The sequence below is a fragment of the Homo sapiens genome, chromosome 22, assembly GCF_000001405.40.
Source record: "Homo sapiens chromosome 22, GRCh38.p14 Primary Assembly".
Taxonomy (NCBI): Eukaryota; Metazoa; Chordata; class Mammalia; order Primates; family Hominidae; genus Homo; species Homo sapiens.
In genome coordinates this window covers 50,763,454-50,784,441 of record NC_000022.11, presented here as the reverse complement: position 1 = coordinate 50,784,441, position 20,988 = coordinate 50,763,454, and the positions used below count along the sequence as shown (strand labels likewise).

At 48.9% G+C, this 20,988-nt stretch overlaps 1 protein-coding gene and 1 pseudogene across 52 annotated transcripts in view, besides 1 other annotated feature; one reads left to right on the top strand and one right to left on the bottom strand.

The window, feature by feature from the left end:
• RPL23AP82 (ribosomal protein L23a pseudogene 82) overlaps positions 1-20,988 on the bottom strand; it is a 42,552-nt pseudogene that overhangs the window by 15,196 nt on the left and 6,368 nt on the right. The window contains exon 2 of one of the 2 annotated variants that reach the window (NR_026981.1): positions 1,148-1,322. The product of NR_026981.1 is annotated as a ribosomal protein L23a pseudogene 82, transcript variant 1 (transcript). Of the gene's footprint in view, positions 1-369; positions 714-1,147; positions 1,323-20,988 lie in introns of those variants that run through there. The other variant, NR_026982.1, reaches the window with a different exon arrangement.
• Positions 635-874: a silencer, noted in NCBI's record as "silent region_14005". NCBI's record gives its function as "represses an Ori minimal core promoter by ATAC-STARR-seq in GM12878 lymphoblastoid cells {active_cell/tissue: GM12878}" and the evidence as "EXISTENCE:reporter gene assay evidence [ECO:0000049][PMID:35858748]".
• On the top strand, positions 806-16,936 carry RABL2B (RAB, member of RAS oncogene family like 2B). 50 transcript variants are annotated; one of them, NM_001350006.2, is made up of 10 exons: positions 806-941; positions 1,397-1,551; positions 2,091-2,254; positions 6,461-6,490; positions 7,693-7,772; positions 8,591-8,670; positions 14,426-14,537; positions 14,893-14,987; positions 15,318-15,401; positions 15,568-16,936. In NM_001350006.2, the coding sequence occupies exons 3-10, from the start codon at positions 2,148-2,150 to the stop codon at positions 15,664-15,666; spliced, it is 687 nt and encodes a 228-aa protein (NP_001336935.1). In that variant the 5' UTR covers positions 806-941; positions 1,397-1,551; positions 2,091-2,147; the 3' UTR covers positions 15,667-16,936. The 50 variants fall into 50 exon arrangements, with proteins under 50 accessions (NP_001336935.1, NP_001124395.1, NP_001124392.1 ...); NM_001130923.3 differs by having other exon boundaries at positions 14,893-15,017; NM_001130920.3 differs by having other exon boundaries at positions 14,890-14,987.

Sequence of the window (20,988 nt, the reverse complement as noted above, 5' to 3'; positions counted from 1 at the left end):
GTTTGTCTCTCACCTACCTGTGACCTGGAAGCCCCCTCCCTGCTTCGAGTTGTCCCGCCTTTCCCGAGGGAACCAACGTTCATCTTACATATATTGATGTCTCCTGTCTCCCTAACATGTATAAAAGCAAGCTGTGTCCCGGCCACCTTTGGCACATGTCAAGACCTCCTGAGGCTGTGTCACGGGCGTGCGTCCTCAACCTTGGCAAAATAAACTTTCTAAATTGACTGAGACCGTCTCACATATTCGAGGTTCACAAGCCCATGCATGGGGACGTCCCCTGGGGTAGCGCCCCTCCTCCACTGAGCTCACTCGCTTCCCCCTTGTGTGTTTTCTTCAGAAGAAATTTCGCAGCTACTTGGTCCACACCTGTCTGCCCCACAGGAACCTCTCTTCTCCACAGGCACATGGGCGGCGTACCTGCTGGGCTGTGTGGAGAGGACCGGGTTCCTCTCCTGATTCCTGCTCAGTTAATAACGAATGTCGACAAGTCGAGAAAATTGCTCAAATTTACCCCATCAAAGAATTAAAAACTGGTGAAAGCTTGACCTGCGCCCCCCACCCCTGACGTGCTCACCGCTCCACTCCCTCTAGGCGGGCGGCACCCGCTGAAGCCTCGGTACCACACCCACAGCCAGGAGCCCCAGTCCCGCACTCGGCCGCATGCGCACTCCCTGCGGCCCTCCCGCCAGGCGCCGCGCTGGGCAGCCAGCGCCCCGGCGGGGTCCTTCAGGCCTTCGGCCGGGCAGCCTCCCTCGGGGTCCTTGTGCGGTTGCGTAGCAGCTGCGAGGACGCGGGCCGAGCCGGAAGTGGAGTGCGCTGCGGCGCGAGCTGGGCCGGCGGGCGTGGTTCGAGAGCGCGCAGAGTCCAGACTGGCGGCAGGGCCCGAGGGGCCGACCCGCAGCGTCCCTGGTCTCTCCAGCCCTCACTCGGAACCGCACGTGAGGGCAAATCCGCCCCGGTGGCTGGCTTAGCACGCGGGGACAGCCCCTCCGAGGCCTCCCTAGCGGTGTGGGCGAGAGGGCGTCCGGGTCGGGGGAAGCACGGAAAGGTGGCTTCGCGAGGCTGTTGTGGGGGGCGGGACGGGCAGCCTGGCGATGCCTGGACATGGTTGGTGGCCAAAAACATTTATCGAAAGATAGCTTACCCACTTAGATGGCAAGGACACGGACAAGCAAGTCTTCGCCCGTAAGCGGTGGCTCACGCCTATAGTCCAGGGATGCCGAGGAGGGAGGATCGCTTGAGTCCAGGAGTTGGAGGCTGCAGTGAGCCGTGATCGCGCCACCGCACTCCAGCCTGGGCGACAGAGTGAGACCCTATCTCTAAACAAAAGAAAGAACGTCTTCAAGCATGGAGCCATGAAGCTGGATTTGGCTTTCTGTCGCTCTCTCTACAGGGTACAGGTGAAAGGGGGCAGACCCCTCATCATGCTTTCCAGGCATCTGCCACTTCCCAGGAATTGTCTCCCTGGATAAACAAGGCGAAGTCCCTGGCTGTGCAGAAGCAGTAGCTGTGTGGTGGCACAGTCAGGAAAACTCGGGGGCCCTGTTGGTATTTTCTACCCCTGACCCGTGTGCATACTTCTGTCGTAGCTCTCACCACAGTAGACTCTGCTATCATTGTGTCTTCCATCCTCTGAACCCTGTGCAAGGTCTGCTCATGGTGAATGCCCAGTAAGGCTCACCTATTGCTGCTGTCTCATCATCATATCATTTCTATGTGCCCCCCTAGCTAAGAGTCTGGACTGTGGTTACATTCTCAGGAATGTTTGCAAAGTCATATTTAGGTGTGAGGAGAGTAAAACAGAGCTAGACATAATGTTGCACACAGCCTTTGGCACTGGATGCCTGGTGAATGTCTTGTGCAAATGGGTAACGTGAGGAGCAGCATTTGGGGTGCGCAGGACTTAACTATTTGTGTATAACATATTATTGATGCCTGTGTGTCATACTCTGCTACTCCAAGTCTAGTAGTCAATTGCATACCATATCTCAGTCTGGCACTGAGGGAAGCAGTCTGGAGGGAGGTACAGCTGGAGATTTGGTTGAGGGGACTTATCTCTGACAACAGCCTCTTGTTGATCTTCCCAGACAGTGACAATACCCTCCCCTCCCTTGGGCTGGACCCCTCTCTACAGCTAGGAGCCAATGGCAGAAGACAAAACCAAACCGAGTGAGTTGGACCAAGGGAAGTATGATGCTGATGACAACGTGAAGATCATCTGCCTGGGAGACAGCGCAGTGGGCAAATCCAAGTATGTTGGGAGATTAGGGAATAAATACCAGCCCCAGAGAGGGTCCAGGTCATTTAAAAAGTCCTCCAGAGGCAGAGGAGCATGGCTTCTTGGGGCTGGTGAAGGAGCAGTCTTGGCTGGAGCCCAGATGTTCATGGGGGAACGAGGGGAATCACGTGAGCCGTTGTGTGTGTCAGGTGGAGGGGGCAGGTCATAAGGACTGAGGAATTTGAATGTTTCCTCTGAGCCCTGAGAGAACGTGTGGAGCAACTGAGGACATTGTATGTGGTTTGTGGGCTGAGGGATGGCAAGGGCGGGGAGTGGGAATGGAAAGACAAAAGTGACTATGCCACCGTGACAGATTGGGTAAAGGTGGTAAAGATGCTTTCTTGGAGGGACTCTCTGAAATAGAGAAAACTGGGTAGAACTGACGATTGACTATAATCATTGTGAAGACTGGCTTCTTCTTGTAATGAATTTCGGTGCCTACGTGCCACCCGGAGAGGTGAAGGGAGGCTCTGCCGTGCTGCCAGCTTGTCTCCATGAGACGTCCTAGTTCTCACGCCTAGGACTGCTGAGGGCACATGTCCATTTCTGCCTTCATAGCATGACGGTACACTTGCCCCTGCCCAGAGAAGTGGTCACGTTTATCTCCCAAGTACTCCAGGCCCACCTTGGTTTCTACCTTCATTTTTATAATCAAGTCCTTTGACTCAGGTAGCTGTGAATAATTCTCTGGGGGCTTTGCTGGTTTTTAGGCCATCTCCATGAATTTGAATTCTCTGTCTCTCTCTCTCTCTCTCTCTCTTCCCCACCACACAATCACATACTGCAGCTCTGGTTTAGTTTTTTTTTTTTTTTTTTTGAGACGGAGTCTCGCTCTGTCCCCCAGGCTGGAGTGCAGTGACGTGATCTCGGCTCACTGCAAGCTCCGCCTCCCGGGTTCACGCCATTCTCCTGCCACAGCCTTGCGAGTAGCTAGGACTACAGGCGCCTGCCACCACACCCAGCTAATTTTATTTTTGTATTTTTAGTAGAGACGGGGCTTCACCTTATTAGCCAGGATGGTCTTGATCTCCGGACCTTGTGATCCGCCCACCTCAGCCTCCGAAAGTGCTGGGATTATAGGCATGAGCCACCGCGCCCGGCCTCTGGTTTAGTATTTTATAGTTACTTTGACCATCCTCAACAGCACGCCTGTACAGTAAAAGTGAGGGTAGGTGTTGTAGTTTGGGAAGGTTACCCAATAAATAACACCCCCTTTATCCCCACTCAAGTTTAAAAACAACAAAGAATAGAAATGGCAGGCAGGTGTAAAGCAAATTGCCACTTTAATAACAAACAGAACTTTCGGAGAATGTATCTTGGTATACCCAGCTCCCAAGTTCAATGCTAGTCTCTTTATATGCCTCATTTCAAACAGTAACAAAAAATAAGAATCCAAGTAGTTAACTTGACGTCAAAGATTACCATAACATTGGCCTCCACAGACACAACAATTAGAAAACAAGGCAGTCTTCATCCACTAGCAGTATCTCAGGCAAAAGGTTGTCCCAGATACAAAGACCATGGTGGAAACAGTGCATCTGAGGGAAGGTGAGTGCATGAGAACACTGTGGTTCAGTTTTGACTGGACTCAAGAATTACTGCCAATTTTCAGTGTCTCTAACCTATGAATCTAAACTCAGTTGGGCTAAAACACCCATTAAGAGGTTAACACATCCAGGCTGTGGTGAGCTATGATTGCGCCACTGCACTCTAGCCTAGTGACAGAGCAAGACCCTGTCTCAAAAAAAAAAAAAAAAAAAAAAGTTAACACTTGTGTTCATCATATCTGAAGGGCGTCAGTTGTACACGGCCTCATTTCTAGAGAGCAATGTTGTGGCAGTGCGGCCTTCTTGCAGAGTTCAGAAATTTACAACAGTAGCAGCCCCAGTCACCAGGCTTTCTTTAAGGTGCCTTTTTTTTTTTTTCTCATGCAGCATGTTCATGCTTCTTGATTCCACTCAGGGCTCTGTTGGAGGGCTCTGATGACAGCTCCCCTACCCCCTGTGAACAGGTGACCTCAGACCTGGGCACTGCCTCCTGTGGAAGGCTTTTCCTTTGCTCCTGCACATGCCACCTTCCTGAGCTGCCATTACAGGCATGAGCCACTGCACCCGACCAGATTTCTTTTGACCCCAGGTGATCATACTGCTTAATAACAAGACATGGTTTTTTGTTTTTTGGAGACAGAGTCTTGCTCTGTCACCCAGGCTGCAGTACAGTGGGGCAATCTCGGCTCACTGCAACCTCCGCCTCCCAGGTTCAAGCAATTCTCATGCCTCAGCCTCCTGAGTAGCTGGGATTACAGGCATGCGCCACCATGCCTAGCTAATTTTTTTGTATTTTTAGCAGAGGTTTTGCCATGTTGGCCAGGTTGGTCTGGAATTCCTAACCTCAAGTGATCTGTCTGCCTTGGCCTCCCAAAGTGCTGGGATTACAGGTGTGAGCCACCGCACCCGGCCAACAAGACGTGGCTTTCTGATTCCATCTTTAAGAGTAGTTAGGTCCAGATGTGTTGTCTTTTTTCTTTGATAGCTGTCTAACTTGGCCTTTAGGGTCTTCCATTCCCGTTAATGATTGCCTATCATCGTTGTGCAAAGAGGGCAAAGGCACACCCCCCCCACCCAAAACTAAGGCCACATGGTGTGAGTACAGACTAGGGTGATGGGGGAAACTTACAAGCAGAAAAGTCACACCATGTGACTCCCTGGGTCCCAAGCTCTCATTATCCTGAGGGAGTTGTGCTTAGGCCACCAGTGACCAGTGCCTACTCTAAATATTTTTGGGAAAAGAAGACAGGGAACATCTGCGTATGTGACAGTGACAGAGGCAGCTTCCTAGAGCCTCCGGAGGTAGGCCTGCTCTGTTTTTGAGCTCAGGCCTGCCGAGCTGGTTCTCTGCTAAGCTGCAGAATGTTGGGAGGGAATGAGTCTCTGGGGCCTCTTTTTCCCTCCTTCATCCTGTCTTCCAGAGGCAACTTTTCCTTAAGAAAATCCCTCTGTGCCTGTGTTTTTATTCTTCCACTGCTTCTGCTTGGATGAGGCAAGTTTATGGATCTCTCCTCTTCCTCCTGCACTTTCTGAGCATGTGCCCTCTCAAGACAGTGTTCTGAGCTTGAGTCTTTTTCATTGACCATCTTAACCTCTGGCCGCGGTAATTTCTTTGTGTAATTTTCTACGTGATCTAAGAAGATGATGTGTTTTCTTTATAGTAAGGGTGCTGTTTCTTTATAGTTATAAATAAAATCTATCCTCCTTTTACAATTCAAGCTGCAGTTTAAATATCAGAAGTATAAAATCATGGTTAGAGTGTATTACACTGACAGGCAAGCAGTGACCCTTCAAAACGTGAGGGAAAAAAGGTTGCAATGTCAAGAGAGTGGTCAGGGAAGGCCTAGTTGTAAAGGTAACATTGGGTCAAAGACTTGAAAAAAGCAAGGAGTAAGCCTTGCAGATATTTGGCAGGAGCATTTCAACAACAAAAGGAGGAAATGGCCAGTGGCTAGAACAGAGGGAGAGAAAAGAAATGGGAGAGTTTGAACTGAAAGAAATGGGGAACCACTGGATGGTTTTGCAGAGAGGAGTGACCAAGTCTGCCTAATTTTTTCACGGGATAACTGACCACATTCAGAATAGATGGTCCTCTCAATAACCAATAGATCAAGCAGATTCTCCTGTCTCAGCCTCCTGAGTAGCTGGGATCACAGGCGTGTGTCGCCACACCTGGCTAATTTTTTGTATCTTTAGTGGAGACAAGGGCTTCACCCTGTTGGCCAGGCTGCTCTCGGCCTCCCAAAGTGCTGGGATTACAGGCGTGAGCCACCGCGCCCGACCGGGAAATGGCTTTTGAACGGAAGGCGCAGCTTTGGCCTGGCCTCTGTTTCCCTTTGCATAACACAAGGGTAATTGCATGGGCAGAACTGTGCTCTGGTGGAAATAACAGATTTGAGAGCTTCACGTGGGCTGGTGTGTGTACTCATAGTGACATGAGCTGTTTTGTTATGACGGGTTGGTAATGCTGATACCCAACTTCCAGACTTGACCCGGAAGCTGTGTGGCTGTGGAGTGAAAGGGGGAAGGGAAGCCACAGGTGGCTTCCAGGTTGTCAGCCTTAGGGTGAAAAAGTCTGGGACGAGGGAGAGATGGAGACGCCATCTGACCACCTTGCCTGTTCTGCTTACAGACTCATGGAGAGATTTCTCATGGATGGCTTGTATCCTTCAAGGTTTGAAGTACCCCTTGTTCCTGTGGGTCTTCCCACGCTCATGTATCAGTGTCCCACTGCCCACACCTTTGTACCAGCAGCCCAGGAAGGAGGATTGGGTAAGTGAACGCACAGGTTTTGTTCCGCACTTGTTTCTTGCCGATTGACCCACATGGCATTGCACAATCAGTGCTGTATATTTTGGACCTTACTCATATTTGGATTGTTTTATATTAAGAGGGCAGTAGAATGGCAAACAGCAAATGGTTTGGATCTAATGCCTGGATTCAAACCCCACCTCCTCCTCCTCAGTAGCTTCTGATACTGGCCAAGTCATTTAACCTCTCTAACCTCAAAGCTTGGGCCCCCTACTATTGAAAAAAATCTCTGATATGAATGAACTTTGTAAAATAGGAGCTGCCAGCCCCACCTTTCTCCCATGAATTGTTATATTACATAGGTTTGGAGTGAGTTCCTCCCCGCAACTGGGAGATTTTTAAACAGCTTCCCAAGTGGATCCACTGAGAACCACAGGTGAGAGGAGCCCCTGGAGCCTGCTGCTGCCTGTCCTAGGCTCGGCACCCCAAGGCTCAGTTGCCTTAAGATCTGAGTATGTGTTACTCCACCTTGTACCAAGTGCTCCTGCACACCCAGCCCACCTGCGTCATTTGGCTCTGCTTTTTACACTGTCCGGCTTCTTGCAGCCTCGGAAGCTGTTAATCCCCAGAGTTTAACCCTTTTTCTCAGGGTTTCACACATAGACAGACTCCAAATTGATTGACAGCTTGTCAGCTGTATGGCTTGTGGGAGCTTTTGTCCCTGGAATGGTCATGTTGCTACCTAGGGTTAGGGTTTCCTTTCTAGCCTGCGAAAGCTCCATCCATGATTGAGTTGGGGTATCCACATTTGCATTTTCCAACTGCATGATGCCTTTTATGACACTTGTCTGTAAAATCCTGTTCTGTGTTTTACCTCAGACTTCGATGGCCAGGACACACTCCCATCTCCTCCCACCCCTCACCCTTCCATGGAGTTTGTACCAGTGATATGTGAAGCTGATCCTCTGTCTGCAACATTCATTTGATTTAAAATCTCAATAACTCCAAAGAGAAGAGGAGGGAGAGGATCCATTTCATCAAACCAAACACCCCTGCTCCCCACTCCTTCCTTACCTCCCCTTTTATTGATTTTGCTCCTTAACCTGAGTGCAGTCAGCCACAGCAGCTGTCCACGTACGCCCTGACCCTGTACAAGCACACAGCCACGGTAGATGGAAGGACCATCCTTGTGGGTAAGTGGCACAGGGCCAAGACATGCTGACCCTCAGGAAAGAGGAAATGGGAGACGAGGGGAGGTGAGGGAAGGTTCATAAGGAGAGAGTCCAGAGGGAGAAAATGAGACCCCAGGCAGGGACAAGGGGTGCTAGAGAGAACCCAGAGAGCCAGGAGCCAGGAGGGTGGAAGGGGGCATGCAGGGGCCAAGTCCCAGCCCTCTGACCTGGCGTCCAGGCCAGCACCTGTGCAGGACAGGGTTCAGGAAAGGAGAAGTCAGGGGGCTGTACCCACCTCAGGGAAGAAGAACGTAAGAGGCCTTCGACGAGGCAGTAGTTTTCCTAGCTTCAGGGGTTGTTACTCAGCCAGTTTGAAAAAATAAATGTGGTCAGAACATTATCTCCCACATCGGGCTGCGACCTTCCATCGGGTCATAATCTTCTCCTTGGCCGGGCACACAGCCTGCCTGACTCTGTCTACCGTCTGTGGTCAGCGCACGTGAGAAGTTGGAATAGTTTGGAACTTAGAGGACCCTGCGTGTCACGTGGGAAACGGGGAACTGTCTTCTCCCTCCTTGGGCTTCCAGTGTGTTGTCCTTCCTCCTGGCCCCTGACCCACTGTCTTCCCATACACACAGGTGAAGACACACCTCTCACATCACACTCAGGTACACTGTGTCTTGAAGACACACGTGTGGGGCTGTATAGTCTCTGTTTCTCCCTGTGCTCCCCATGTACACTCACACATGTGCTGTGGTTTGTGCCGCATGTGTGTTGTATCTTAGTGACTTGCACAGAAGTGCACCAGGCATGTAGGTCTGTCTGTGTTCACATTGCAGACTTTTGGGACACGGCAGGCCAGGAGCGGTTCCAGAGCATGCATGCCTCCTACTACCACAAGGCCCACGCCTGCATCATGGTACGAGACGGTGGGGAGGTGGACAAAGGCACTGGGCAAGTCTGGCCTGAGGGGTGAGGGGCCTAGCAGCCCTGGGCCCTTGTAACCAAGTCTGGGTGTTGTGGGAGGGGGGCTTAGGGTCACCCGGGGATGTTTCAAACCACACCTGCTCCCCAGAGCTTCTTAGTGAGAAGGTGCCAGGTGAGCTCTCTGTAGGCGGGGATGGGTGGAGAAAAGGTGGAACAGCAAGCTCAGGGCTTCAACATCAGGTGTAGCATCCAAGAGGCAAACATGCCTGAAACAGGGCCACCGTCCCTCTGATGGACCTAACCTGTCAGACAAGCTCCCAAGGCCTCCCTCCACTGTTGCCTGCTGCCTTTCCCTAGGGGGCGCACGCTGGGACTGAGTAGATGCTGCGGGTCCCAGAGAACCTTCTCTCTCAGGCCAGCCCCTCGCCTCCCCCCGAGCCTCCCATTGTGTTGCCCAGGACGCAGTCCTCACGGCTCCCCCTGGTGACCCGGGTGTGGTGAAGCAGTCGCTCCAAGAGAAAAATGCAGCCGAGGAAAGGGCTGAGAAAGGAAAAAGGAGCTCTGTATACCTGTGTCCTGTAGAAGTTCCTACCCGTGAATTCCCTGGCTGGGTTCTCAGGCCACCACTTTTAAATGCTGAAAAGGAGCATGTTTTTCTTTTGGGTCACTTAAAAAACATTTTCATGGCTGGGCACGGTGGCTCATGCCTGTAATCCCAGCACTTTGGGAGGCCAAGATGGGTGGATCACCTGAGGTCAGCAGTTTGAGACCAGCCTGGCCAACATGGTGAAATCCCGTCTCTACTAAAAATACAAAAAATTAGCCGGGCATGGTGGCGGGTGCCTGTAATCCCAGCTACTTGGGAGGTTGAGGCAGGAGAATCATTTGAACCCAGGAGGCAGAGGTTGCAGTGAGCCGAGATCACACCATTGCACTCCAGCCTGGGCAACAAGAGCAAAACTCCATCTAAAAAAAACCCACATTTTCATGAATATCAGCCATCAACAATGCAGAAAGTAATAGACTAGTCTTCTGAATTATTAACCCTAGCAATTGTCACCAAGTGAAAACCTTGGTCACTAAAACTTCTTGGAATAGCATTCAAGGTCTTGCTTTAACACAAAACCCCAAAACTTGGCGGTACAAAACAACCATTTTCTGATGGATCGGGAATCCATGTCTGAAGTCTCAGCTAAGAAGACTCCAAGGCTGGGTTCCAGGCTGGAACTGCCTGGGGCATCTCCCCACACACACACACTGGTACTTGGCTGGACCACCAGCAGGTTCTACTCCCCGTGTTTCTTCGCAGTTTGTCATTTGGGCTGATTTGGGTTTGCTCACAGAGTATCAGCCAAGATCCCAAGATCAAGTATCCAAAGAGAACCCGGTGGGACTTATATTTCCTTTTATGGCCTAGCCCTGGAATATGTGGCATCTCTCTGTCCATAGTCACAGAGGGAAGAAACAGATGGCATCTCTCAGTGGGGAACCAGAATCATATGGTTAAAAGAACACATGGGATGGACAGGTTGCCACCATTGTTGGCATACATTAATAAAGTCTGCCACGGGCCGGGCGCGGTGGCTCACGCCTGTAATCCCAGCACTTTGGGAGGCCGAGGCGGGCGGATCACGAGGTTAGGAGATCGAGACCATCCTGGCTAACACGGTGAAACCCCGTCTCTACTAAAAATACAAAAAAATTAGCCGGGCGTGGTAGCGGGCGCCTGTAGTCCTAGCTACTGGGGAGGCTGAGGCAGGAGAATGGCGTGAACCCGGGAGGCAGAGCTTGCAGTGAGCCGAGATCACGCCACTGCACTCCAGCCTCGGCGACAGAGCGAGACTCCGTCTCAAAAAAAAAATAAAGTCTGCCATGGCACCCCATAGCATTTAGACACCCACCTTTCTAGCCCTACCTCCCACTTAGTGATTGTCTGTAAATACGCACGGCCTTACCTTGGCACTGAGAGAGATGCATGGCTGAGCAGGTGTCATCTCATCTGTAAGAAGCAATAGCAGAGGGGATGCAGAAGGAGCTGCTCTGTTCTGCTCATTGTCACCTGCTCCTCTGCACACCTTCCTTCATGCTCTTCCCTCAGCCTCTCCCCAGCTCACACCCCTTTATTTGAAACTCTGCTCATTTTTCAGGCCCTGCTTCAATGCCACCACCTCCGTGCAGCCTCCTCTGATGTTTGTCATTAGCTTAGCTCTTTCGTGTGTGCTCCTGCACCACTGATCCCTTCCACAACATGGACTGTCTGTGATGCACGTGTGCAGGATGCTGGGAGTGCCCAGGTGGAAAGACACACGTGCTGCCCCCAGGAACTGACTGACTGGTAGGCACAGTACAGATACCAGTGGTGAGGACAGTGAGGATTCTTCCCTTCTGACCCTTTGCAGATGGTAAAGGAAGGAACTCATCACCTAATTCCCCCGACTGCCCCTTGAGAACAAAATCCCTTGAAAAATTCCAAAAGCTTTAACTCTGATAACTGTTAAGGCACTAAACAAGAGGATGATGGGGCAAGGAAAATGGGGGCAGTGTAGTGCAGAAGTCTGACCCTCAAGAGCAGAGGAGCTTGGTCCTAGCCAGTTTGGTTTCAGGCCTACAGTGGCATTTGGTATTTTGAGCTCACCTCTCTTTTTCTCTTGGAGTGACTGCTTCCTGCATCTGCTGCATCTCCGTGGGCTCCCCTCAGACCCTCTTCTGAAGGCCTGGGGTGTCTCTCCTGCCACCATGCCTGTGTCTGCAGGTGCCTGCCACCAGCCCCAGTCTGCTGCACGGGCCCTGGCGAGTAGAAAGCACTTGCCTTCTGACCACACGGGGAGCTGAGGGTCAGAGACGGAACCAGGGCTCGACCCTCCACCTTGAAACCTTGAGATGGGGATGCTCCTCATTCTAGCCAGCTCCTCCTCAGCTCTCAAAACAAGGAACAGATGCTCAGGAAACCAGACCTGGACAAAAGGCATCTGAGCCTGGTGTGAGGCAGATTCCAGAAGTTTAGTTACAGACATCCTTTATAAGGAGTCTTCATCGGGAATTCAAGACAACCTGGTGATTCATTGAAATTTGCCTGTGAAAGAGAATCTACATAGACTTCCTGCCACCTCTTGAGATGTGACAGTTGCTGACCCTCCCGCCACCACACAGGGCGAGCCCCTAGCCCTGAGCTTGAACCGTGTTGCTTGCACAAATAGCTGGGTGATTTAGAAGTGAGGTCAGCTGTGCCAGCGGTTACAGGGTGGTGGTTGTCTGTAACTTTAATCCACTGACTGTTGTACTAGGGCAGTTTGGGCTAGACACTTTGGAGGAGCTCCTGTGAAGGGCATGAAGGCTCACTGTAGCAGCAGCTCAGTTGTCTTTCAGAGTTCTGCCCTTAAGAGCTGGTTTGCAGTGCTCATCCTTCTTGCTGATATTTTAAAATAGGTAGAAACAGGCTGGGCGCGGTGACTCATGCCTTTAATCCCAGTACTTTGGGAGGCCTAGGCGGGCAGATCACCTGAGGTCAGGAGTTCGAGACCAGCCTGACCAACATGTTGAAACCCCGTCTCTACTAGAAATACAAAAATTAGCCAGGCGTGGTGGTGCGCACCTGTAATCCAGCTACTCAGGAGGCTGAGACAGGAGAATCATTTGAAGACAGGAGAATCGTTTGAACCCAGGAGGTGGAGGTTGCAGTGGCAGTGAGCCAAGATACCGCCACTGCACTCTAGCCTGGGCAACAGAGCAAGACTCCATCTCAAAATAAATACATAAATAAATAAAAATAAAATAGGTAAAAACAAATTATAAAGTAATACAATTATGAACTGCAAATAATAAAACATAAAAATTACTTTAAAAAAATTTAAAGAGGCCGGGCACAGTGGCTTATGCCTGTAATCCCAGAAATTTGGGAGGCCGAGGCAGGAGGATCACTTGAGACCGGGAGTCCAAGACCAGCCTCGTTAATATAATGAGAGCTTATCTCTACAAAAAATAAACAAAATTAGCCAGGCATGGTGGCATGTGCCTGTAGTTCCAGCTACTCAGGAGGCTGAGGTAGGATCACCGGAGCCCAGGGGGTGGAGGAGCAGTAAGCCAAGATTCTGCCACTGCACTCCAGCCTGGCTGACAGAGTAAGACCCTATCTCAAAAAACAAAAAGCAGAAAGAACAAAGAAGTAAACAGAAGCTTAAAAGTAAATCAGCCAGGTGCAGTAGCTCATGCCTGTAATCCCAGTACTTTGGGAGGCCTAGGCAGGCAGATCACTGCAGGTCAAGAGTTTGAGACCAGCCTGGCCAACATGATGAAACCCTGTCTCTACTAAAACTACAAAAATTAGCCAGGCATGGTGGTGCGCACCTGTAATCCCAGCTACTCCGGAGGCTGAGACAAGAGAATCACTTGAACCTAGGAAGTGGAGGTTGCAGTGGCAGTGAGCCAAGATAGCGCCACTGCACTCCAGCCTGGGCAACAGAGCAAGACTCCATATATGGAGATCCCTTGAGATCAAGAGTTCGAGACCAGCCTGGCCAACATGGCAAAACCCTGTCTCTACTAAAAATAAAAAAATTAGCCAGGCATGGTGGCGCACACCTGTAGTCCCAGCTACTGAGGAGGCCGAGACAAGAGAATCACTTGAACACAGAAGGCAAAGGTTGCAGTGAGCTGAGATTATGCCACCACACTCCAGCCTGGGTAACAGAGTGAGACTCCGTCTAAAAAAAAAAAAAAAATCAGGGGCAGTTGTGATGGCTAACACTTGTAACCCCAGCACCTTTAGAGGCCCAGGTGGGAGGATCCCTTGAGGCCAAGAGTTTGAGATGAGCCTGGGTAACATAGGGAGAGCCTGCCTCTACAAAAAAAAAAAAATAAAAAAATAAAAATTAATGCGTGCGTGCTACTTGGGAGGCTGAGGTAGGAGGATTCCTTGAGCCCAGGAGTTTTGAGGTTACAGTGAGCTGTGATTGAGCCACTGCATTCTAGCCTGGGTGACAGTGAAACCCTGTCTCTAAAAAGTAAATAAATAAATAAAAGTAAATAGTAACTAAAGTAAAACTCTAGAAACATTTACGGTTACTACAGAGGAACTTTAAAACAGTTTAAGCAATAAATACAAGAGGACTAAAAAACACAAAAGTTTTTACAATTTCTAACAGACTGCATCAATTGGCAAATTGATTCCATTTATGATTGTTAAAATAGGTGAATAAGATTAGATGACAAGATAACAAAAAAGGAATACGTTATTTATTTGTTTATTTCAGACAGAGTTTTGCTCTTGTTGCCCAGGCTGGAGTGCAATGGCATGATCTGGGCTCGCTGCAACCTCTGTCTCCCTAGTTCAAGCAATTCTCCTGCCTCAGCCTCCCAAGTAGCTGAGATTACAGGCATGCGCCACCAGGCCCAGCTAATTTTTTGCATTTTTAGTAGAGACGGAATTTCACCATGTTGGCCAGGCTGGTCTCAAACTCCTGACCTCAGGTGATTGACCCACCTCAACCTCCCAAAGTGCTGGGATTACAGGTGTGAGCCACTGCACTGGGCCAAGAATAAGATTTTTAAAAACATTTTCGCATCTGGAGGCTCCAGGGGGCTTCCCTGAGAAACGGCAGCCTCTGCGGTCAGAGAGGCTGCAATTCAGAGCGTTCCCACAAACAGCACCATGTGCTCGTGCTTACCTGCTTGGGTGTGTGAGTCACCTGGAGATGGGGTGCAGAAACATTGACATACCTGAGCTATCTTTCTTCCTCTGCCCTTTGCAGGTGTTTGATGTACAGAGGAAAGTCACCTATAGGAACCTGAGCACCTGGTATACAGAGCTTCGGGAGTTCAGGCCAGAGATCCCATGCATCGTGGTGGCCAATAAAATTGATGGTGGGGCCATCCCTGCACCTGGGTGTTAGCAATTCACTGGGGACCTGCCCTCATACATTTCCTCCTCCATTCCCCGGGCAGGCAACCTTCAGTGATTGGTCCTCCCTCCCACGATAAGATACAACCCTTGGTTGGTTGCTTGCATTCTTCCCACCTTATAAAGAAGCCAGCTAAGCCGACCTGCCCTCTTTCCAAGACACAGATCCCTATTAACTGAGCTCTTTCTAGGACCTGTTTCCCAATCATCCCTGCCTATCCCACTTTCTGGAATGAAGGCCTCCAGTGGCCCCCCCCTCCAAACCTTCTTCCCTTCCCTTGACAGACAGACCAATGTCCTACCTTCTCTCTACAGCAGACATAAACGTGACCCAAAAAAGCTTCAATTTTGCCAAGAAGTTCTCCCTGCCCCTGTATTTCGTCTCGGCTGCTGATGGTACCAATGTTGTGAAGGTGTGGTTGACTGCAGAGGTAGCTAGCAAGGTCAGGGCGCTAGGTGGTAAAGGGAAGCTGTGAAGAGAAGGGCTTACTGCAGGTGTGATGGAGAGAACCGGGACAGTGCATGGGCATGGGTGGCAGGGAGGGGAGGAGCTGATGGGCCTGGACTTGATGAGGCAGAAGTCCATTGACCATACATAGGTCAGGGTGACGGGGAGAGGCAAATGGAGGGGTAAGGTTGCTGATTTTAGGAATGGAGTATTGTGTAGTCTCACAGTGGGGCCAGTGGGGTGGACTGGGCAGAGTCCAAGGCACTCTCATCCACCATCTCTACCTCACCCCCAGCTCTTCAATGATGCAATTCGATTAGCTGTGTCTTACAAACAGAACTCCCAGGACTTCATGGATGAGATTTTTCAGGAGCTCGAGGTAGGTCAGGTCCACATTTCGGGTGGGATGGAAGAAACGGCTCCTCTTCAGGGATAGGGACTACAACCCAGTAGAGTGACTCTTGCCTAAGTTTGCCCCACTAAATGTATCAGAGCTGCGGTTGAGCAAATGCAGGGCCAGGCCTCACCTGCGACCTTGTTCACAGAACTTCAGCTTGGAGCAGGAAGAGGAGGACGTGCCAGACCAGGAACAGAGCAGCAGCATCGAGACCCCATCAGAGGAGGCGGCCTCTCCCCACAGCTGAGGGGCTGGGGCTAGGGGTGGGTGGAGCCCTTTTAAAATACCCTTCCCTTCAACAACTCTCCAGCTCTGAATGGAGAAACTCTCTAGGCCATCCCCTCTTCTACCTCCTGCAACCCACCCATCCTATTAGCCTCCCACATTCTAGGCCCGTGATACAGGGATGAGGTCAGCACCAGCAAACTCTGGACTGGTGGAAGAATTCCCCACCAGATCTCCTTGAAGCAGAAGTAGGGATCAGCATCATTAACACCTTCCCCACCCCCTCCCCGCAGGCAGACAGTGAAGAGAATCAGAAAACATGATTATGTGTCACTTTAATACAGGAAATTTAGGTGTTTTTTGGTGTTTTTGTTTTTGTTTTTGTTTTCTTTCCAAAGCTCACCTCGGGGACAATTCCTTGGGCTTCTCCTGAGGTAATGATTTACCCCCCCACCCACAGCTGAGTCTGTGAGGCCCCATCCTTTCCCTACGTTTTCTCCCATCTTTTTTCCTCTTCAGTCTCCCAGTCATCTGGTTTGTTTGTTTCTTTGTTCGTTCTGAGACGGAGTCTCGCTCTGTCGCCAGGCTGGAGTGCAGTGGCGCAGTCTCGGCTCGCTGCAACCTCTGACTCCCTGGTTCAAACGATTCTCCTGCCTCAGCCTCCCGAGTGGCTGGCATCACCACGCCCAGCTAATTTTTGTATTTTTAGTAGAGACGGGGTTTCACCATGTTGCCCAGGATGGTCTCGATCTCCTCACCTCGTGATCCGCCCGCCTCGGCCTCCCAAAGTGCTGGGATTACAGGCATGAGCCACCGCGCCCGGCCCCAATCATCTGTTTTTAAACAATCGTTTTTGAGCAGATAGCTATTCATTCCAGATTTTCGTGTACCCATTCTGTTTCAGGAGCTCTTCTAGGTAAAGCTGAGATCACAGGAACAGCAGGTGACAGGCCTAGCTATAGTTAGGAATACACAAGCCGTAAAATCGAGTCCTTACAGCCATACCACAAGGTACGTCCATTTGGACTACAAGAAGAGCTTCCTTTAAAGTTCCTATTTCAGCATAAAGAGGCTGTCCTTTTTTTTGAGGAATAGTTTGGACCTTGTGCCTCCTGTGGGAGGCTGAGGACTGCAAGAGGAGAGCTAGCAGATATGCCTGTTCACCCCTCTCTGGTACTTGTGGCTTGCTAGTATGTTTTTATGATAATCTCGGGCATTGTTTGCATTGTGTTTATTAATAGGGTTTTGTTTTTGTTGTTTCCTTTTTTACAGTAAAGGCTGAATTACATAAACATTGAGTAAATGTATGTGCTTTGTGGCTCTGAAGTGTGTACTGAGCAAAAAGACAAAAGAATCTGCAAATCATCACCCTTATCAATGAGGGGTAGCTGCCTTGACCTGTTGCAGGGTAGCCCATGTTTACTCTCAATTCACTATATTGGAGGCCATTTCAGTGGAATTTAGTGTTTTCAAAAGAATTCAATTACCTATTAATTTGGGAGCTCAAGAACAAGCACATTTCCCCTTGAAATCAGCAATACTTAGATGTTCAACGTAAGATGTTTGACCTGACCAGGGGTTCCCAGGAACGTATACCCTGATGAGGTAGAACTTAAAAAAATGTAGTTACTGTAAATAACTACTAAGTACTTAAAAAAAAATACAACAGCCTTACTGAGATAGAATTTGCAGACTATAAAGTTCACCATCGTGTTGGTTTTATGGGACTATTCTGTATCAGGTTCCTTAGAAGCTGACCCTGAGAAGGCCGTGGTTCAAATGACTTAATTAGGGTCATTCTCAGAAGAGTGAGGGGGGCAGGAGACAAGAAGCTCAGCAAGGTTGTGGTCTCAGCTGGAGGCCGGCTTCACCACCCCACCCCGTCCCAGGGAAGCTCTGGAGGGCAAATTGCCCTCCAGAGTTAGTCCTACCTCAAGACCAGGGGCCTTTTGTGCCCTTCAGCCAAGGGTGTGAGGTGGAAGGGGGCCTTCTGTTTCAGTAAGGTCAGTTCTCTGGGGAAAAGGGTAACTGTGCGCTTCCAACTCAAAGCAATTGGAGGATGAATGTTTAGGCAGGGTGCCAGCAACATCCACAAGCCACCCATGTGTACATTGCTCAGATCCACCTGCTTCTTAAAGTTCATTCCATCCAGGTAGAGCTGCTCCATGTTTCTAACTGGTCACCAGTCCTGGGGGAATGTACAAGAGAAGGGTCAATGGGAAAGGACAAACCATAGCCCCTGCTATTGTAGTTGGACCCCATGCAGAGACTGATACTTGTCACCTCTCATCCTCTGGCTAGCACTTTTGCTGGTCTAGGTTGTTTGCCTGGTGGGTTGATCCTGCTCCTCTTGCCTAATGGGGTCTGAGCCCCTGCTTACTATGCCTTTATGAGGCGGTGGTTGTTAACACTTACATAGTTATATCTAAACATGCAAGTACCAAGAGACAGCATGAATCATCTGAGTACCAAATACATTGCTCCTTCCTATTATTATCTGGCAACATCCTTTCTTCCTAATGACGATTACAGGTAATCACCTCTTTCCAGAATGCTAACTCTGCTTGCCAGTTACAAGCGCATGGACTGTCTAGGAAGCAGCCATAGCTTTGTGTTTAGTGAAACTCTTACTGTATCACTTGGTGGAAATGCCTTCCCCCACTCCCCACACTGCCACTCACAGAGTCCAAGACTTCAGCTCACAGAGCCTAAAGCTGTAGACACAAACACAGATTCCCCAAGTGTGTCACTGAGAGTGCTAGCGAGCGGGGCGCTCCTATGTCCACTCCTTGGTTACTAGACATGTTGGGGACATAAAACCATATAATGAATATTAAGTTGTATATCACATCATGAAGGACCCCATCCTTAAAGGGTATCATATCCGAGATCGACATCTCTGCTATCCACAAAGATAGGAAAGACTCAGAAGTGGAGTGACATCAGGAAAATGGCAGAGTAGACAGCTCCAAACTCCTGTCCCTCTACAGAAACATGGAGAAAAAGCAGCAGAAACTTTACCAGAACTCTGGAAAACAGTAAAAGACTTATATCAATCAGGAAAGCCCTGAAATGAGGAAAGGGCAACTTCAAAGTGACAGAAAAGTGGTGTGGCATTTTCACTTGCCCTTGCCCCACCCCTTCATCAGCTTGATGGTGATCTTGAAGATAGTAGTCCATTTTCCCAATTTAGGACCCAGGTCCCAGGTTCCAGAGGGAGCAAGGCAGACCTTATTCACAAATGACTTTGTTTGTCTATTCTAACCGGTCAGAAACGATCTGAGAGACTAAAATGAGGCATTTGTCTGTTTTGCCCAAGTCTGAATCCACTCAAGGTAGAAAAGTGGCAGGCATTGCTTAAAAACATTCTGAGATGACCAAAAAACCCACAGCTCCCTGGGACAAAAAGTTGTGGTTCAGACATACAATATATTACATAAAGCCTGGGAGGAAAATCTGGGAGAGTTTCTTTGGGAAATCAGGACATTCAAAAAATACTTGTGTTTATTGGGGATTTCAAATGTCATGCACATACCCAGGGCAGGTCACGCATTCAGGAAAGATCTGAGAAGACCCTAAGCTTTTTCCTTTGGAAGATCTCTAGGTCCAGGGTTATCAAGAAGTGAAGGCTAAGACAGAGTTGTTAATATCCTGGTTAGGTGTTGAAGGAATGCCCCAGCACAAAGCCAATCTGCAAAGATTGAAAGAGATGCTTAAAAAAAATTTTTTTTTCAACCACGGATGAATACATAAAGAAAATGTGGCATATACGTACAATGGAACATCATTCAGCCTTTTTAAAAAAGGAAATCCTGGCCTGGCGCAGTGGCTCACGCCTGTAATCCCAGCACTTTGGGAGGCCGAGGCCGGCGGATCACAAGGTCAGGAGATCGAGACCATCCTGGCTACGGTGAAACCCCATCTCTACTAAAAATACAAAAAAAAAAAAAAAATTAGCCAGGCATGGTGGCGGGCACCTGTAGTCCCAGCTACTTGGGAGGCTGAGGCAGGAGAATGGCGTGAACCCAGAAGGCAGAGCTTGCAGTGAGCCGAGATCACGCCACTGCACTCCAGCCTGGGCGACAGAGCGAGACTCAGTCTCAAAAAAAATTAAAATAAAATAAAATAAAAAGGAAATCCTTCCATTTGCAGCAAATATACTAAGTTAAAGAAGCCGGACACAGTAGGACAGATACTACATGATCTCACGTACATAAGGAATCTAAAATATTCAAACTGAGAAGCAGAGAGTAGAATGGTGGTTGCCAAGGGCTAGGGCATTGCTCATTGGGTGCAAAGCTTCAGCTATGCCAGAGGGATGAGTCCTAGAGACCTCCTGTACAGCATAGTGACTATAGTTAACAACACTGTATTACATACTTAAAGATTTACTGGAAATAGATCTTATGTTAAGTGTCCTTATCACAAAACATAAGAATTAGAAATGAAGAGAGAGGGAGCAAACTTTTTGAAGTGATGAATATGTTTATGGCATTCATTGTGGTGACGTTTTTATGGGTATATACTTACTTCAAACTCATCAAGTGGTATACCTTAAATATGTATATCGATAAAATGGTTTTTAAAAATACATGAAGCAAATGCACATTTCTCCAAAGAAAATATACAAATGGCCGATAAGTACATGAAAAGATGCTCAACATCATTAGTCATGAGAGAAATGCAAATCAAAACCAGAATGAGATGCCACTTACTGGTAATGAAAAAGATAATAGCAAGTGTTAATGAGGCTGTGGAGAAATCGGAACCCTTATACACTGCTGAGGAGGAAGTAAAATAGTGCAGGCACTTTGGAAAACAGTTTGGCAGTCCTGGAATGGTGAAACATCGAGTTAACCATATGATCCTGCAAATCTACTCCTAGGTATACACTCAAGAGAAATGAGAACATGTGCTCACAGAAAAGCTTGTATATGAGTGGTTATAGCAGCACTATCCATAATAACCAAAAAGCTGGAAATAATCCAAATATCCATAAAATGTGGTATATCCACACGATGAAATATTACTCAAAAATACAAAGAAATGAAGTGCTAATATGTGCTACAACATGGATGAAACTGAAAAAAAAGTATGTTGAATGAAAGACGCCACGTATAAAGCACCGCAGGTTGTGCGATTTCATTAATATGAAATGTCCAGAACAGGCAAATCTACAGAGACAGAAAGATTACTGAACAGAAAGATTACAGACAAAAATAACAGATTAGTGGTTGTTTAGGGTGGGGGGGTTGCCGGTGAAGTTGGGAAGGAATTTGGTGGGGGCCAGGAAGCTAAGGGTACAGATTTTCAAGTAACGAGAATACTTTAAAATTAATTGTGG